The sequence below is a fragment of the Homo sapiens genome, chromosome 15 (assembly GCF_000001405.40).
Source record: "Homo sapiens chromosome 15, GRCh38.p14 Primary Assembly".
Lineage (NCBI taxonomy): Eukaryota > Metazoa > Chordata > Mammalia > Primates > Hominidae > Homo > Homo sapiens.
In genome coordinates, this window is record NC_000015.10 from 64830319 (window position 1) to 64841757 (window position 11439).

At 49.2% G+C, this 11439-nt stretch overlaps 1 long non-coding RNA gene across 3 annotated transcripts, besides 2 other annotated features; it reads right to left on the bottom strand.

Moving 5' to 3' along the window:
* Positions 1-5614: 5614 nt before the first annotated feature.
* Positions 5615-11103, bottom strand: LOC124903508 (uncharacterized). 3 transcript variants are annotated; one of them, XR_007064682.1, is made up of 4 exons: positions 9536-9838; positions 9273-9378; positions 8702-8816; positions 5615-5818 (listed from the first exon to the last, which is right to left on the bottom strand). It is a non-coding gene; the product is annotated as an uncharacterized LOC124903508 (long non-coding RNA). The 3 variants fall into 3 exon arrangements; XR_007064681.1 differs by lacking the exon at positions 5615-5818 and adding an exon at positions 10855-11103 and having other exon boundaries at positions 8602-8816; positions 9536-9685; XR_007064680.1 differs by lacking the exon at positions 5615-5818 and having other exon boundaries at positions 8602-8816.
* Positions 7216-7315: an enhancer, noted in NCBI's record as "active region_9579". NCBI's record gives its function as "activates an Ori minimal core promoter by ATAC-STARR-seq in GM12878 lymphoblastoid cells {active_cell/tissue: GM12878}" and the evidence as "EXISTENCE:reporter gene assay evidence [ECO:0000049][PMID:35858748]".
* Positions 11120-11439: a silencer, noted in NCBI's record as "silent region_6540". NCBI's record gives its function as "represses an Ori minimal core promoter by ATAC-STARR-seq in GM12878 lymphoblastoid cells {active_cell/tissue: GM12878}" and the evidence as "EXISTENCE:reporter gene assay evidence [ECO:0000049][PMID:35858748]".

Here is an 11439-nt window from a genome sequence, read left to right on the forward strand (position 1 = left end):
GATGATAAATTTTTGTTGTTTTAAGCCACTAAATGTATGATAATTTGTTATAGCAGCCATAGAAATAAGAAACAAATACAGCCACATAGAGAGAAAATGAAAGAGCTGGGATTATGAACCCAGGTCTGTTTCCAAAGCCTGTGTTCTCTCTTTCCACTGCTCTCTGCTTACAATGGGCCTAGCGCACTTACACACAGGGGAAGCCAAATCCCTTACCCTGATTCTGTGTGCAATACCCCAGACTGCTTCAAGGGAAGGCACCAGAATGTCCCAATGGATTTTCTCTTAATATGTTTTTTTTTGTTTTGGCTTTCAAACTTTTTTTTTTTCTTTTTTTGAGACAGTCTCGCTCTGTCGCCCAGGCTGGAGTGCAGTGGCGCAATCACGGCTCACTGCAAGCTCCGCCTCCCGGGTTCACGCCATTCTCCTGCCTCAGCCTCCCGAGTAGCTGGGACTACAGGCGCCCGCCACTACGCCCAGCTAATTTTTTGTATTTTTAGTAGAGACGGGGTTTCACCGTGTTAGCCAGGATGGTCTCGATCTCCTGACCTCGTGATCTGCCCGCCTCTGCCTCCCAAAGTGCTGGGATTACAGGCGTGAGCCATCGCGCCCGGCCTTGGCTTTCAAACTTTTTAAAAACAATTGTGGAAAAATATACACGACATTTATCGTTTTAATTATTTTTAAGTGTATAATTCATGGCATTAAGTACATTCCAAATGTATAACCATCACCACAATTTAATTAATTAATTAATTTATTTATTTATTTTGAGACAAAGTCTCACTCTGCTGCTCAGGCTAGAGTACAATGGCACGATCTCGGCTCACTGCAACCCCTGCCTCCTGGGTTCAAGCGATTCTCCTGCCTCCGATTCCCGAGTAGCTGGGACTACACCTGCCTGCCACCACGCCCGGCTAATTTTTGTATTTTTAGTAGAGACGGGGTTTCACTATGCTGGCCAGGCTGGTCTCGATCTCCCGACCTCAGGCGGTCCACCTGCCTCGGCCTCCCCAAGTGCTGGGATTACAGGCATGAGCCACTGCACCTGGCCACAATTTATTTATTTATTTTTTCACTTTCCCCCACAATTTATTTTTGAATGTTTTCATTATTTCACATAGAAACTTCATCCAGTTCAGGCGTGGTAGCTCACGCCTATAATCCCAGCACTTGGGGAGGCCAAGGCGGGTGGATTACCTGAGGTCAGGAGTTTGAGGCCAGCCTGACCAACAAAGTGAAACCCCATCTCTACTAAAAATACAAAAATTTGCCGGGGGTGGTGGTGGGCACCTGTAGTCCCAACTACTCAGGAGGCTGAGACAGGAGAATGGCGTGAACCCGGGAGGTGGATGTTGTAGTGAGCCGAGATCACGCCACTGCACTCCAGCCTAGGTGATGGAGCGAGACCCCATCTCAAAGAGAAGAAAAAAATGAAACTTCATCCATTAGGCAATAACTCATCATTCCTACTTCCTCTCACACTTTAGTTCTCTCATTTTATTATGAAAATATCCAGGCCAGGCACGGTGGCTCACGCCTGTAATCCTAGCACTTTGGGAGGCCGAGGTGGGCAGATCATGAGGTCAAGAGATGGAGACCATCCTGGCCAACATGGTGAAACCCCGTCTCTACTAAAAATACAAAAATTAGCTGGGCGTGGTGGTGCACACCTGTAGTCCCAGCTACCTGGGAGGCTGAGGCAGGAAAATCGCTTGAACCCCGGAAGTGAAGGTTGCAGTAAGTTGAGATCACACCACCGCCCTCCAGCCTGGTGACAGAGCGAGACTCTGTCTCAAAAAAAAAAAAAAAAAAAAAAAGCAAGCAAACAAACAAAAATCCAAGCATATACAGAAAGAGCGAACGAATTGTACAGTGAACATTGATACATTCATCACCAATCTACAATATTTTGCAGTATTTGTTTTATCACATCCATACATCTACCCATCTCTTTGTTATGTACTTCAAAGCTACAGAGATGAGTATATTTCACTTCTAACTCTTTAGCATGCATAGCATTAACCAGAGTTTATGTTTATCTTTTTTTTTTTTTTGAGACGGAGTCTCGCTCTGTCTCCCAGGCTGGAGTGCAATGGTGCGATCTCAGCTCACTGCAAGCTCCGCCTCCCGGGTTCACACCATTCTCCTGCCTCAGCCTCCGGAGTAGCTGGGACTGCAGGCGCCCGCCACCACGCCCAGCTAATTTTTTTGTATTTTTAACAGACACGGGGTTTCACCGTGGTCTTGAGCTCCTTACAAGTGATCCACCCGTTTCGGCCTCCCAAAGTGCTGGGATGACAGGCGTGAGCCACCGCGCCCAGCCATGTTTATCTTTTTAAAAAATTTTTTTGTTCGTGTCCTGCACGGCGGCTCACACCTGTAATCCCAGCACTTTGGGAGGCCAAGGCCGGCGGATCACGAGGTCAGGAGTTCGAGACCAGCCTGGCCAATATGGTGAAATCCTGTCTGTACTAAAAATACAAAAATTAGCCAGGCGTGGTGGCGTGTACCTGTAATCCCAGCTACTAGGGAGGCTGAGGCAGAAGAATCGCTTGAATCCCAGAGGCGGAGGATGCAGTGAGCTGAGATCTGGCCACTGCACTCCAGCTTGGGTGACAGAACCAGGCTTTATCTCAAAAAAACAATTTTTTTGTTGTTTTTGTTTGAGACAGAGTTTTGCTCTTGTTTTTTTTTTTTTTTTTTTTTTTTTGAGACGGAGTCTTGCTCTGTCACCCAAGCTGGAGTGCAGTGGCACAATCTGGGTTCACTGCAAGCTCCACCTCCTGGGTTCATGCCATTCTCCTGCCTTAGCCTCCCGAGTAGCTGGGACTATAAGCTCCTGCCACCATGCCCAGCTAATTTTTTGTATTTTTAGTAGAGACGGGGTTTCACCGTGTTAGCCAGGATGGTCTCCATCTCCTGATCTCGTGATCCACCCACCTCGGCCTCCCAAAGTGCTGGGATTACAGGCGTGAGCCACTGCACCTGACCCTTGTATTTTTAGCAGAGACCGTGTTTCATCCTGTTGGCTAGGCTGGTCTTGAACTCTTGACCTCAGGTGATCTGGCCACCTCGACCTCCCAAAGTGCTGAGATTACAGGCATGAGCCACCAAGCTCAGCTTTTTTTTTTTTTTTTATTTCTAAAAGTAAAAAGGCCAGGTGTTGTAGCTCATGCCAGTAATCCCAGCACTTTGGGAGGTCAAGGCAGGTCAAGGCACTTGAGCCCAGGAGTTACTGACCAGCCTGGGAATCCAGGTGAGACCCCCATCTCTACAAAAATTAAAAAAAAAAAAAATAGCTGGACGTGGTTGCACATGCCTATGGTCCCAGCTACTTGGGAGGCTGAGGCTAGAGGATGACTTGAACCCAGGAGGTCAATGCTGCAGTGAGCTGTGATGATACCATTGCACTCCAGCCTGGACAACAGAGTAAGACTCTGTCTCATAGAAAAATAATAATGAATTACATTTAAAAATCTTTTTAGAGACAGAGTCTCACTCTGCTGCCAGGCTGGACTCAAATACTTGGGCTCAAGTGACCCTCTGGGCTCAGCCTGTCTAGTCACTGGGGCAACAGGTGCATGCCTGGCTATGTTTACTTTTTTTTTTTTTTTTGAGACAGAGTCTTGTCCTGTCATCCAGACTGGAGTGCAATGGCGCGATCTCGGCTCACTGCAACCTCCATCTCCTGGGTTCAAACCAATCTACTGCCTTGGCCTCCCAAGTAGCTGGGATTACAAATGCCTGCCACCACGCCCAGCTAATTTTTGTATTTTTAGTAGAGACTGGGTTTCACCATGTTGGCCAGGCTGGTTTCGAACCCCTGACCTTGCGATCCACCCGCGTCGGCCTCCCAAAGTGCTGGGATTACAGGCATTAGTCACTGTGCCTAGCATTTTTTTTTTTTTTTTTTTTTTTTTTTGAGAGAGGGTCTGGCTCTGTTGCACAGGCTGGAGTGCAGTGGCAAGATCTTCACTCACTGCAACCTCTGCCTTCTGGGCTCAAGCCAACCTCCCACCTCAGCCTCCCAAGTAGCTGGGATTACAGGCACACACCACCATGCCCAGCTAACTTTTGTATTTTTTGTAGAGACAAGGTCTCACTATGCTGCCCAGGCTGGTCTCAAACTCATGAGCTTAACCAAACCGCCCACCTTGGCCTCCCAAAGTGCTAGGATTATAGGCTTGAGCCACCATGCTGGACCATGTTTACATGTTTAATGTAAACTTCACATACAGTGAAACACATAAGTCTTAGGAGTATCATTAGAAGACCTTTGCAAATTAATATACCTGTGTAGCCCAAACCCCTATCAGGATTTACAACTGTGCTGTCCAATACAGTGGCCACTAGCCACATGTGGCTATTTTAATTTAAACTTAAATCAATTAAAACTAAGTGAAACTCAAATCCAGTGCTCAATTGCCACATGTGGTTAGTGGCTATTACATTGGATAGCACAGATAGGGGACAGTCTCCTCCACTGCATGAAATTGTAAGAACATTATCATCACCTAGAAACTTCCTTTGTGCCCCTTCTCAGTCAATCCCCACTCTCAGTCCTTAGACAACCTCTGTTCTGATTTTATTTTTAACCATGGATTAGTTTAGCTTGTTCTAGCATCTTTTTTTTTTTTTTTTTTTTTTTTTGAGACGGAGTCTCGCTCTCTCGCCCAGGCTGGAGTGCAGTGGCGTGATCTCGGCCCACTGCAACCTCTGCCTTCCAGGTTCAAGTGATTCACCTGCCTCAGCCTCCCGAGTAGCTGGGACTACAGGCACGTGCCACCACGCCCGGCTAATTTTTTGTATTTTTAGTAGAGACGGGGTTTCACCGTTTTGGTCAGACTGGCCTCGAACTCCCTACCTCGGGTGATCCGCCCGCCTCTGCTTCCCAAAGTGTTGGAATTACAGGCGTGAGCCACCGCGCCCGGCTGGATGTATGTTTTAATTTGAGACGGAGTCTTGCTCTGTCGCCCAGGCTGGAGTGCAGTGGCGCGATCTCGGCCCACTGCAACCTTCGCCTCCCGGGTTCACGCCATTCTCGTGCCTCAGCCTCCGGAGTAGCTGGGACTACAGGCGCTTGCCACCACGCCCGGCTATTTTTTTGTATTTTTAGTAGAAACGGGGTTTCGCCATGTCGCCCAGGCTGGTCTCGAGCTCGTTACAAGTGATCCACCCACCTCGGCCTCCCCAAGTGCTAGGATTACGGGCGTGAGCCACCGCGCCCGGCCTGGATTTATGTTTTAATTTATTTTGAATAAATACCTAGGTGAGAAATTCTGGGTCATAGAGTAGTTGTATATTTAGTTTCATATGAAACTGTGAGATCTTTCTTCAAAGTGGTTGTACTCCCCACACAGGATTTTGTCTGAGCAACAAAGTCCCTGAAGGGAAAGGTATCGAACATGTAACTAGACACTGCCTGGTGGTGGATTAAAGGTCCTCGGGTCTTCGCTCCTCCCCGCTCCACGCGCCGTGGGCCTACCAGCTGCATCCTGATTGGCCCGCGGCGTAGGGAGGCGAGGCCAGAGGGAGCCCTACCTCCTGGGGCTGTACTTCCTCCCCTTCGGCTTCGGGCGGTTCTGGGCATCCGCCCGACACTCTGCTCCCTGCTGCCGCCGTGAGGTCAGTCTGGATTGAGGTGCAACGCTGCTCTCGGATCTCGCCCAACCCAAAGCCTGGTTTGGAGGCAAGATCTCAAGAGGAAAGGGTTTTCTTCATTTTGAAATTTCCTCCTCGGAATATCCTTCCACACGTCTTATCTGCTCGCTGTCATTGAGAGGTCTCAGTTCAGTCCCTGGCTCATTAATAATAGCTACAATGACATTAGCACAGAGGGGGTTATAAAATGCATTTTTGGCATTATCTCATGTGATACTACTCAAAAGGCCCCGTCCCTTCCACCTTAGGACCCTTTCTCTCCAAGCTTTTTGCCCTCCCGCTTTCGCAGCCCGAAGCTTACAAGGACAGTCTGTAGAAGAGCTGAACGGGAAACGGTATTTATTTTACTGTCTTCCAGTTTCCAGAGCAGGACGGCACCTTGCACTGTCATCACCGGGCAGCGGACACTCATTTTGTTGAACCTCTCATACAGCTGATCCTCTCTTAACTTCCACGACTTCACACTCCCCTCGTTTCTTCCTGTCTACTGGCTGCTCCATGTTAACCTCCTTTGCTAACACCTCTTCCTCATTAGACCTCTCACTGATCCTCTCTCTCTTCCTTCCCTCCCTCCCTCCCTCTTTCCTTCCTTCCTTCCCTCCATCTCTCCCTCCCTCCCTCTTTCCTTCCTTCTTTGGTGACTCAATTATCAACTACATGATGATTCCCAATATTCTATCTCCAGCCTGCCCTTCTTCCCAGAACACCAAACAATATCCCCATTTGTCTTCCTGAGATTTCCACATGGATGCCAATAGGCATGTCAGATTCACTTTCTCCAAAACAGAGGTTTTAATCTCCTTCCCCAGTACCATATACGCCTGTTTTCCTCCTTTCTTTATCATCTCAGTAAATGGCACCACCATTTTGGGCTCAATTTAAAAACCCACGCCATATCCCTGATTTGTTTCTTCAACTGCCACATCCAACCCACCATTGAAACCCGATGTTTCTTGTCTTTTTTATTTTCTTTCTTTTTTTTTTTTTTTTTTTGAGACGGAGTTTTGCTCTTGTTGCCCAGGCTGGAGTGCAATGGTGCAATCTTGGCTTACCACAACCTCCTCCTCCTGGGTTCAAGCAATTCTCCTGCCTCAGCCTCCCGAGTAGCTGGGATTACAATCATGCGCCACCACACCTGGCTAATTTTGTATTTTTAGTAGAGATGGGGTTTCTCCATGTTGGTCAGGCTGGCCTCGAACTCCCGACCTCAGGTGATCCATCCACCTCGGCCTCCCAAAGTGCTGGGATTACAGGTGTGAGTCACAGTGCTGGACCTCTTTTTTTTTTTTTTTTTTTTTTTTAACAAGGTCTTGCTCTGTCACTCAGGCTGGCACTTGTAGCTCACTGCAGTCTCCAACTCCTGGCCTTACGCGATCCTCCTGCCTCAGCCTCATAAATAGCTGGGACTAAAAGGTGTGCAGCACCATGCCTGGCTAATTTATTTAAAAATTTTTTTTGTAGAGATAGAGGCTCACTAAGTTGCCCAGGTTGGAAGGTAGGGTCTTTTAAGACGTATAAATCAGATTTTGCAGCTGGTGTAGTTAAAAGCCCTCAATGCCTCCCTAAGACTATTCATCTTAGAATAAAACCCACAGTCCTTACCATAGCCTGAAGTCAATTCCCCTTCTGTGCACCGTGACCTCAAGCCTACTGCTCTCCCTTGCTCACTAAGCTTCTGTCACACTGGCCTCCTTGATGTTTCATAATACCCAAAGCCCTTTCTTGTGCCAGAGTCTTTGCACTTGCTCTTCCCTTTGCAGGAAATGCCCTCCCCCTTCCTCCCCACCTCTTTGTGTGGCTGTCTTTTTTGTCATCATTTAGGTCTCAGCTGAAATATCCACTCTTCAGAAAGGCTTCCCCCACCACACATACCATATCTAAAAATGGGCTCCCCCAGTTTCTATTTTTTTTTTTTTTTTAGACGGAATCTCACTCTGTCGCCCAGGCTGGAGTGCAGTGGTGCGATCTCGGCTCATTGCAACCTCCACCTTCCGGGTTCAAGCAGTTCTCTGCCTCAGCCTCCCAAGTAGCTGGGATTACAGGTGCCTGCCACCACGCCTGGCTAATTTTTATATTTTTAGTAGAGACGGGGTTTCACCATCTTGGCCAGGCTGGTCTTGAACTCCTGACCTCAGGTGATCCACCTGCCTCGGCCTCCCAAATTGCTGGGATTATAGGTGTGAGCCACCACACCCAGCCACAACAGGTATTTTTTGAATGGACGAATCAATGAATAAAGAAACCACTCCAAGTCCTGATCCCTCTATCTCTTTTCTAGCTCTTGAATCTATCCTCCACATCTTCGTAACCACTGCTCTGGTTCAGTGGTTCAGCAAGTTGCATTACATCCAACTTGGATTTCTGGAATAATCTACTCAATGGACTACCCTGTCTTTCTTGCCCATATTGCAGTCATGAAAATGAGCTTGTAAGATGAAAATGAGATTGTGTCATACCTCACTTCAAGCTTCAGTAGCCCCCTGCTACTTGCAGGAGGAATTTCAATCCCTTAGGTCAGCACTCAAGGCCTTTAGTGCTCTGGCTCCTGCTGCCTCGTTGGCGGCATCTGACCGAATTCGCCTTCCCCATCCTGCCCCCAACACATATGACCACATAAAGACTGCCTACAATTCACCTAACAAGTCAGGATATTCTACAAGTTCTCACTTTTGTGAGATGTTCTCTTGTCCTGAACTTTCCCTCCGCCCCTATCCAACTAACCCTGCTGGAATACAACTCAACCCCTCCTCTGGGAGCCACTCTCACCACACACCATGTACTTTTTCATCAAAGTCCTTCTCAGGGCTGGGTACCATGTCTGAGGTCTATAATCCCAGCACTTTGGGAGGCCAAGGTGGGAGGATTACTTGAGCCTGGGAGGTTGAGACTGCACTGAGCTGTGATTGCACCACTGCACTCCAACCTGAGTGACGGAGCAAGACCCATATTATTATTTTTTTAAGTGTCCTTATCAGGACTTGTCTACCTTCCTGCTGGTTTGGTTCATCAGCTCTCCAAGGCAGGACCTAGATCTTACGTGGTGTGGTCACACGATGCTGCCCAAAGGAGTCATGTGGAGTCAGGCAGGGTTTGAATCCAGTCAAGTGGCCTTAACCAGGTCATCTAACTTCTTCAAGCCTCAGGTTCCTGATCTGTTCAATGAGGATAACAATTGTATCTATTTCATGGATACTTTCGTGAGGATTAAATGAGATATAGGGAGAGTTTAGAATACTGAGTAGATAACAGGGGGCCTTACATTCTTTTCAGTGAATAATTGTAGGATGATGCCTTAGAAAGCACCCCCACTTAAGGGGCACTCAGTACACTTTGCAGAATGATTAAATGGTACACACACAAAACAGACCCCCACACCTCCCAAACCTTCAATGACTTCCCATTGCCCTGAGGTTAAAATGTGGTCTCCTCCACACAACCTACAAGGCCCTCTCTGCACAAAGCTGTCTGCTTTTCCAGACTGGCCGCCCTACATACACATGCTGTGCTGTTCATGCCTCCATGCCATTGATTACACGCTGTCCCCTCTCCCTAGAATGCCTGTCCTACCCCTTTGTCCTGGTTCTGGTGCCCCTTCTCTGTGCATTTACCTTCTCATTTAACACTCGGCATTCTCATCTTCTTACATGCCTTTCTCCCCAGTAGAGGACAGGGATCCTGAGCTCTGCCATTATCTCCCAGCCACTATTGTAGGGACTGACAGACAAAGAAAATAAAATATGTGTTGAATGAAAGCACACAGTATAGAGGCAAAACCAGAGGGTTTTTTGAGCTAGATGGGGAAACTGAGGCCAGAGTAGTTCTCAATGGCTCATTCCCCAAAATGACAGAACTATTTGGATGTCAAACCAACCTGTCCTCACTGCTCTCTCCCTACAAAGGGCTGCTTCTGTGTAACAAAATGAATTTCCCCAGGGTCTCTGGTCTGCTGCAGGTGGAGCATGAGTTTCCAGATACAAGATCTTCTGAGTCCTTGATCATTGGAGTAGAATGCTGCACAGCTCTGCAGATTGAGGGAGTAAAACCATGTGGTGGCCGAAAGAGGTTGCTACATATACAGACTATCTCAGATCCTCAGCCTCAATTTTCCTTCATCTTTCCTTCCTTCCTTTCTTTCTCTCTTTTTCTTTCCTTTCTTTCTTTCTCTTTCTTTCTCTTTTCCCTCCTTGCGTCCCTCCCTCCCTCCCTTCTCTCTCTCTCCCTTTTTTTTTTTGACAGAGTTTCACTCCTGTTGCCCAGACTGGAGTGCAATGGCGTGATCTCAGCTCACTGCAACCTCCGCCTTTCGGGCTCAAGCGATTCTCCTGCCTCAGCCGCTCAAGTAGCTGGGATTACAGGGATGCACCACCTCGCCTGGCTAATTTTCTATTTTTAGTAGAGACGGGGTTTCTCCACGTTGGTCAGGTTGGTCTGAACTCCCGACCTCAGGTGATCAGCCTGCCTCAGCCTCCCAAAGTGCTGGGATTACAGGTGTGAGCCACCGCTCCCAGCTCTTTCTTTTCTTTCCTTCCTTCCCTCCGTCCTTCCTTCCTCTCTCCTTCCTTGTTTCTTTTCTTTCTTTCCTTCCTTCATTTCTCTTTCTTTTCTTTTTCTTTCTTTCCTTTTTTCCTTCCTTCCCTCCCTCCTTCCTCTCTCTCTCCTTCCTCTCTCTTTCTTTTCTATTCTTTCTTTTTCTTGACCAGTGTGATAATATCAGCCTCAATTTTCTTCATTCCTTTAGCTAAAGGATCCCAGGCCTAGGCATGAGGGAGAAGTGTACCTGCATCTCCTTCCCCCTTGGCCTGGGAGCCCCAGGCTGCCCTTTTCCGTACAGGGCTGGAAGTAGCCTGGGAGCCTGAGGGCTGGCAGAAGGCCGTGAAAGGGGAGCTTGGTCGCTGGCACAGCCGCTGCTATGGCAGCCAGAGCCGAAGAAGGTCACCATTGATCTCACATGCACTTAATTTTCCCTTCCTTGGCATGGGACGGGGTTGACCAGGAGAGCTAAGGGGGAGTATGCGTGTGTGTGTGAGAGGGGAGCGGTGCTGCAGGCTGCGATGCAGCCAGTTACTTTCTCTCTCTGGGCCTCAGTTTCTCCAATGTAAAATGAGGGCGCATGGTATAACTAAAATCATTACTCTCTGCTGGTCCCCACACTCCCACTCTCCAGTAAGGCTGTCAGGGCTGCAAGCTCACCGCGGGATCGGGGGGATGGTCGACCCTCAGATACGGGAGGGATTGAGCGATGCCCAAGGAGAGCAGGAGAACACTGCGCTTGGAGACCCCTGAGAGCCAGGGGCGGGCCGCCCCCTAAAGGGACCCCGGAGTCCCGACTCTCAGCTCCAGCTCTTCCTGTGACACCACCCTCCGGACAGAGACCCAAGCTCCAGGCCCGGCCCCGCCCAGAGGTTCCAGGGAGAAGACCAGGCCACCGCCCACTGCCCGGCGTCGGGGAGGAAAGAGGAGGAGCCTCTGTGTGCCCACATCTCTGGCCGCCCAGGGCAGCTCGGCTCGGTCTCGCAACCCCAGCCCACTGGTTCGGGAGACCTCAAAGGCTCCACCGCCAGCGCCCCCAGCGCTCACTGTGTGCGCCCCACCCCAGCCCTGCCTGCGCGCCGCTCCCGCCACCCTCGCCTCAGTCTCTGGGCCGGAAGCCCCCTCTCCTCCCCCGCCGCAGCCCCCTCCTAGTCCCTCTCCCTCCGCCGATGCGGGAAACCTTCTCCGCCCCGTCCCGCCCTCTTCCTCCAGTTGCATCTCCGCCCGGCTCCTCCGTCCAGTCTC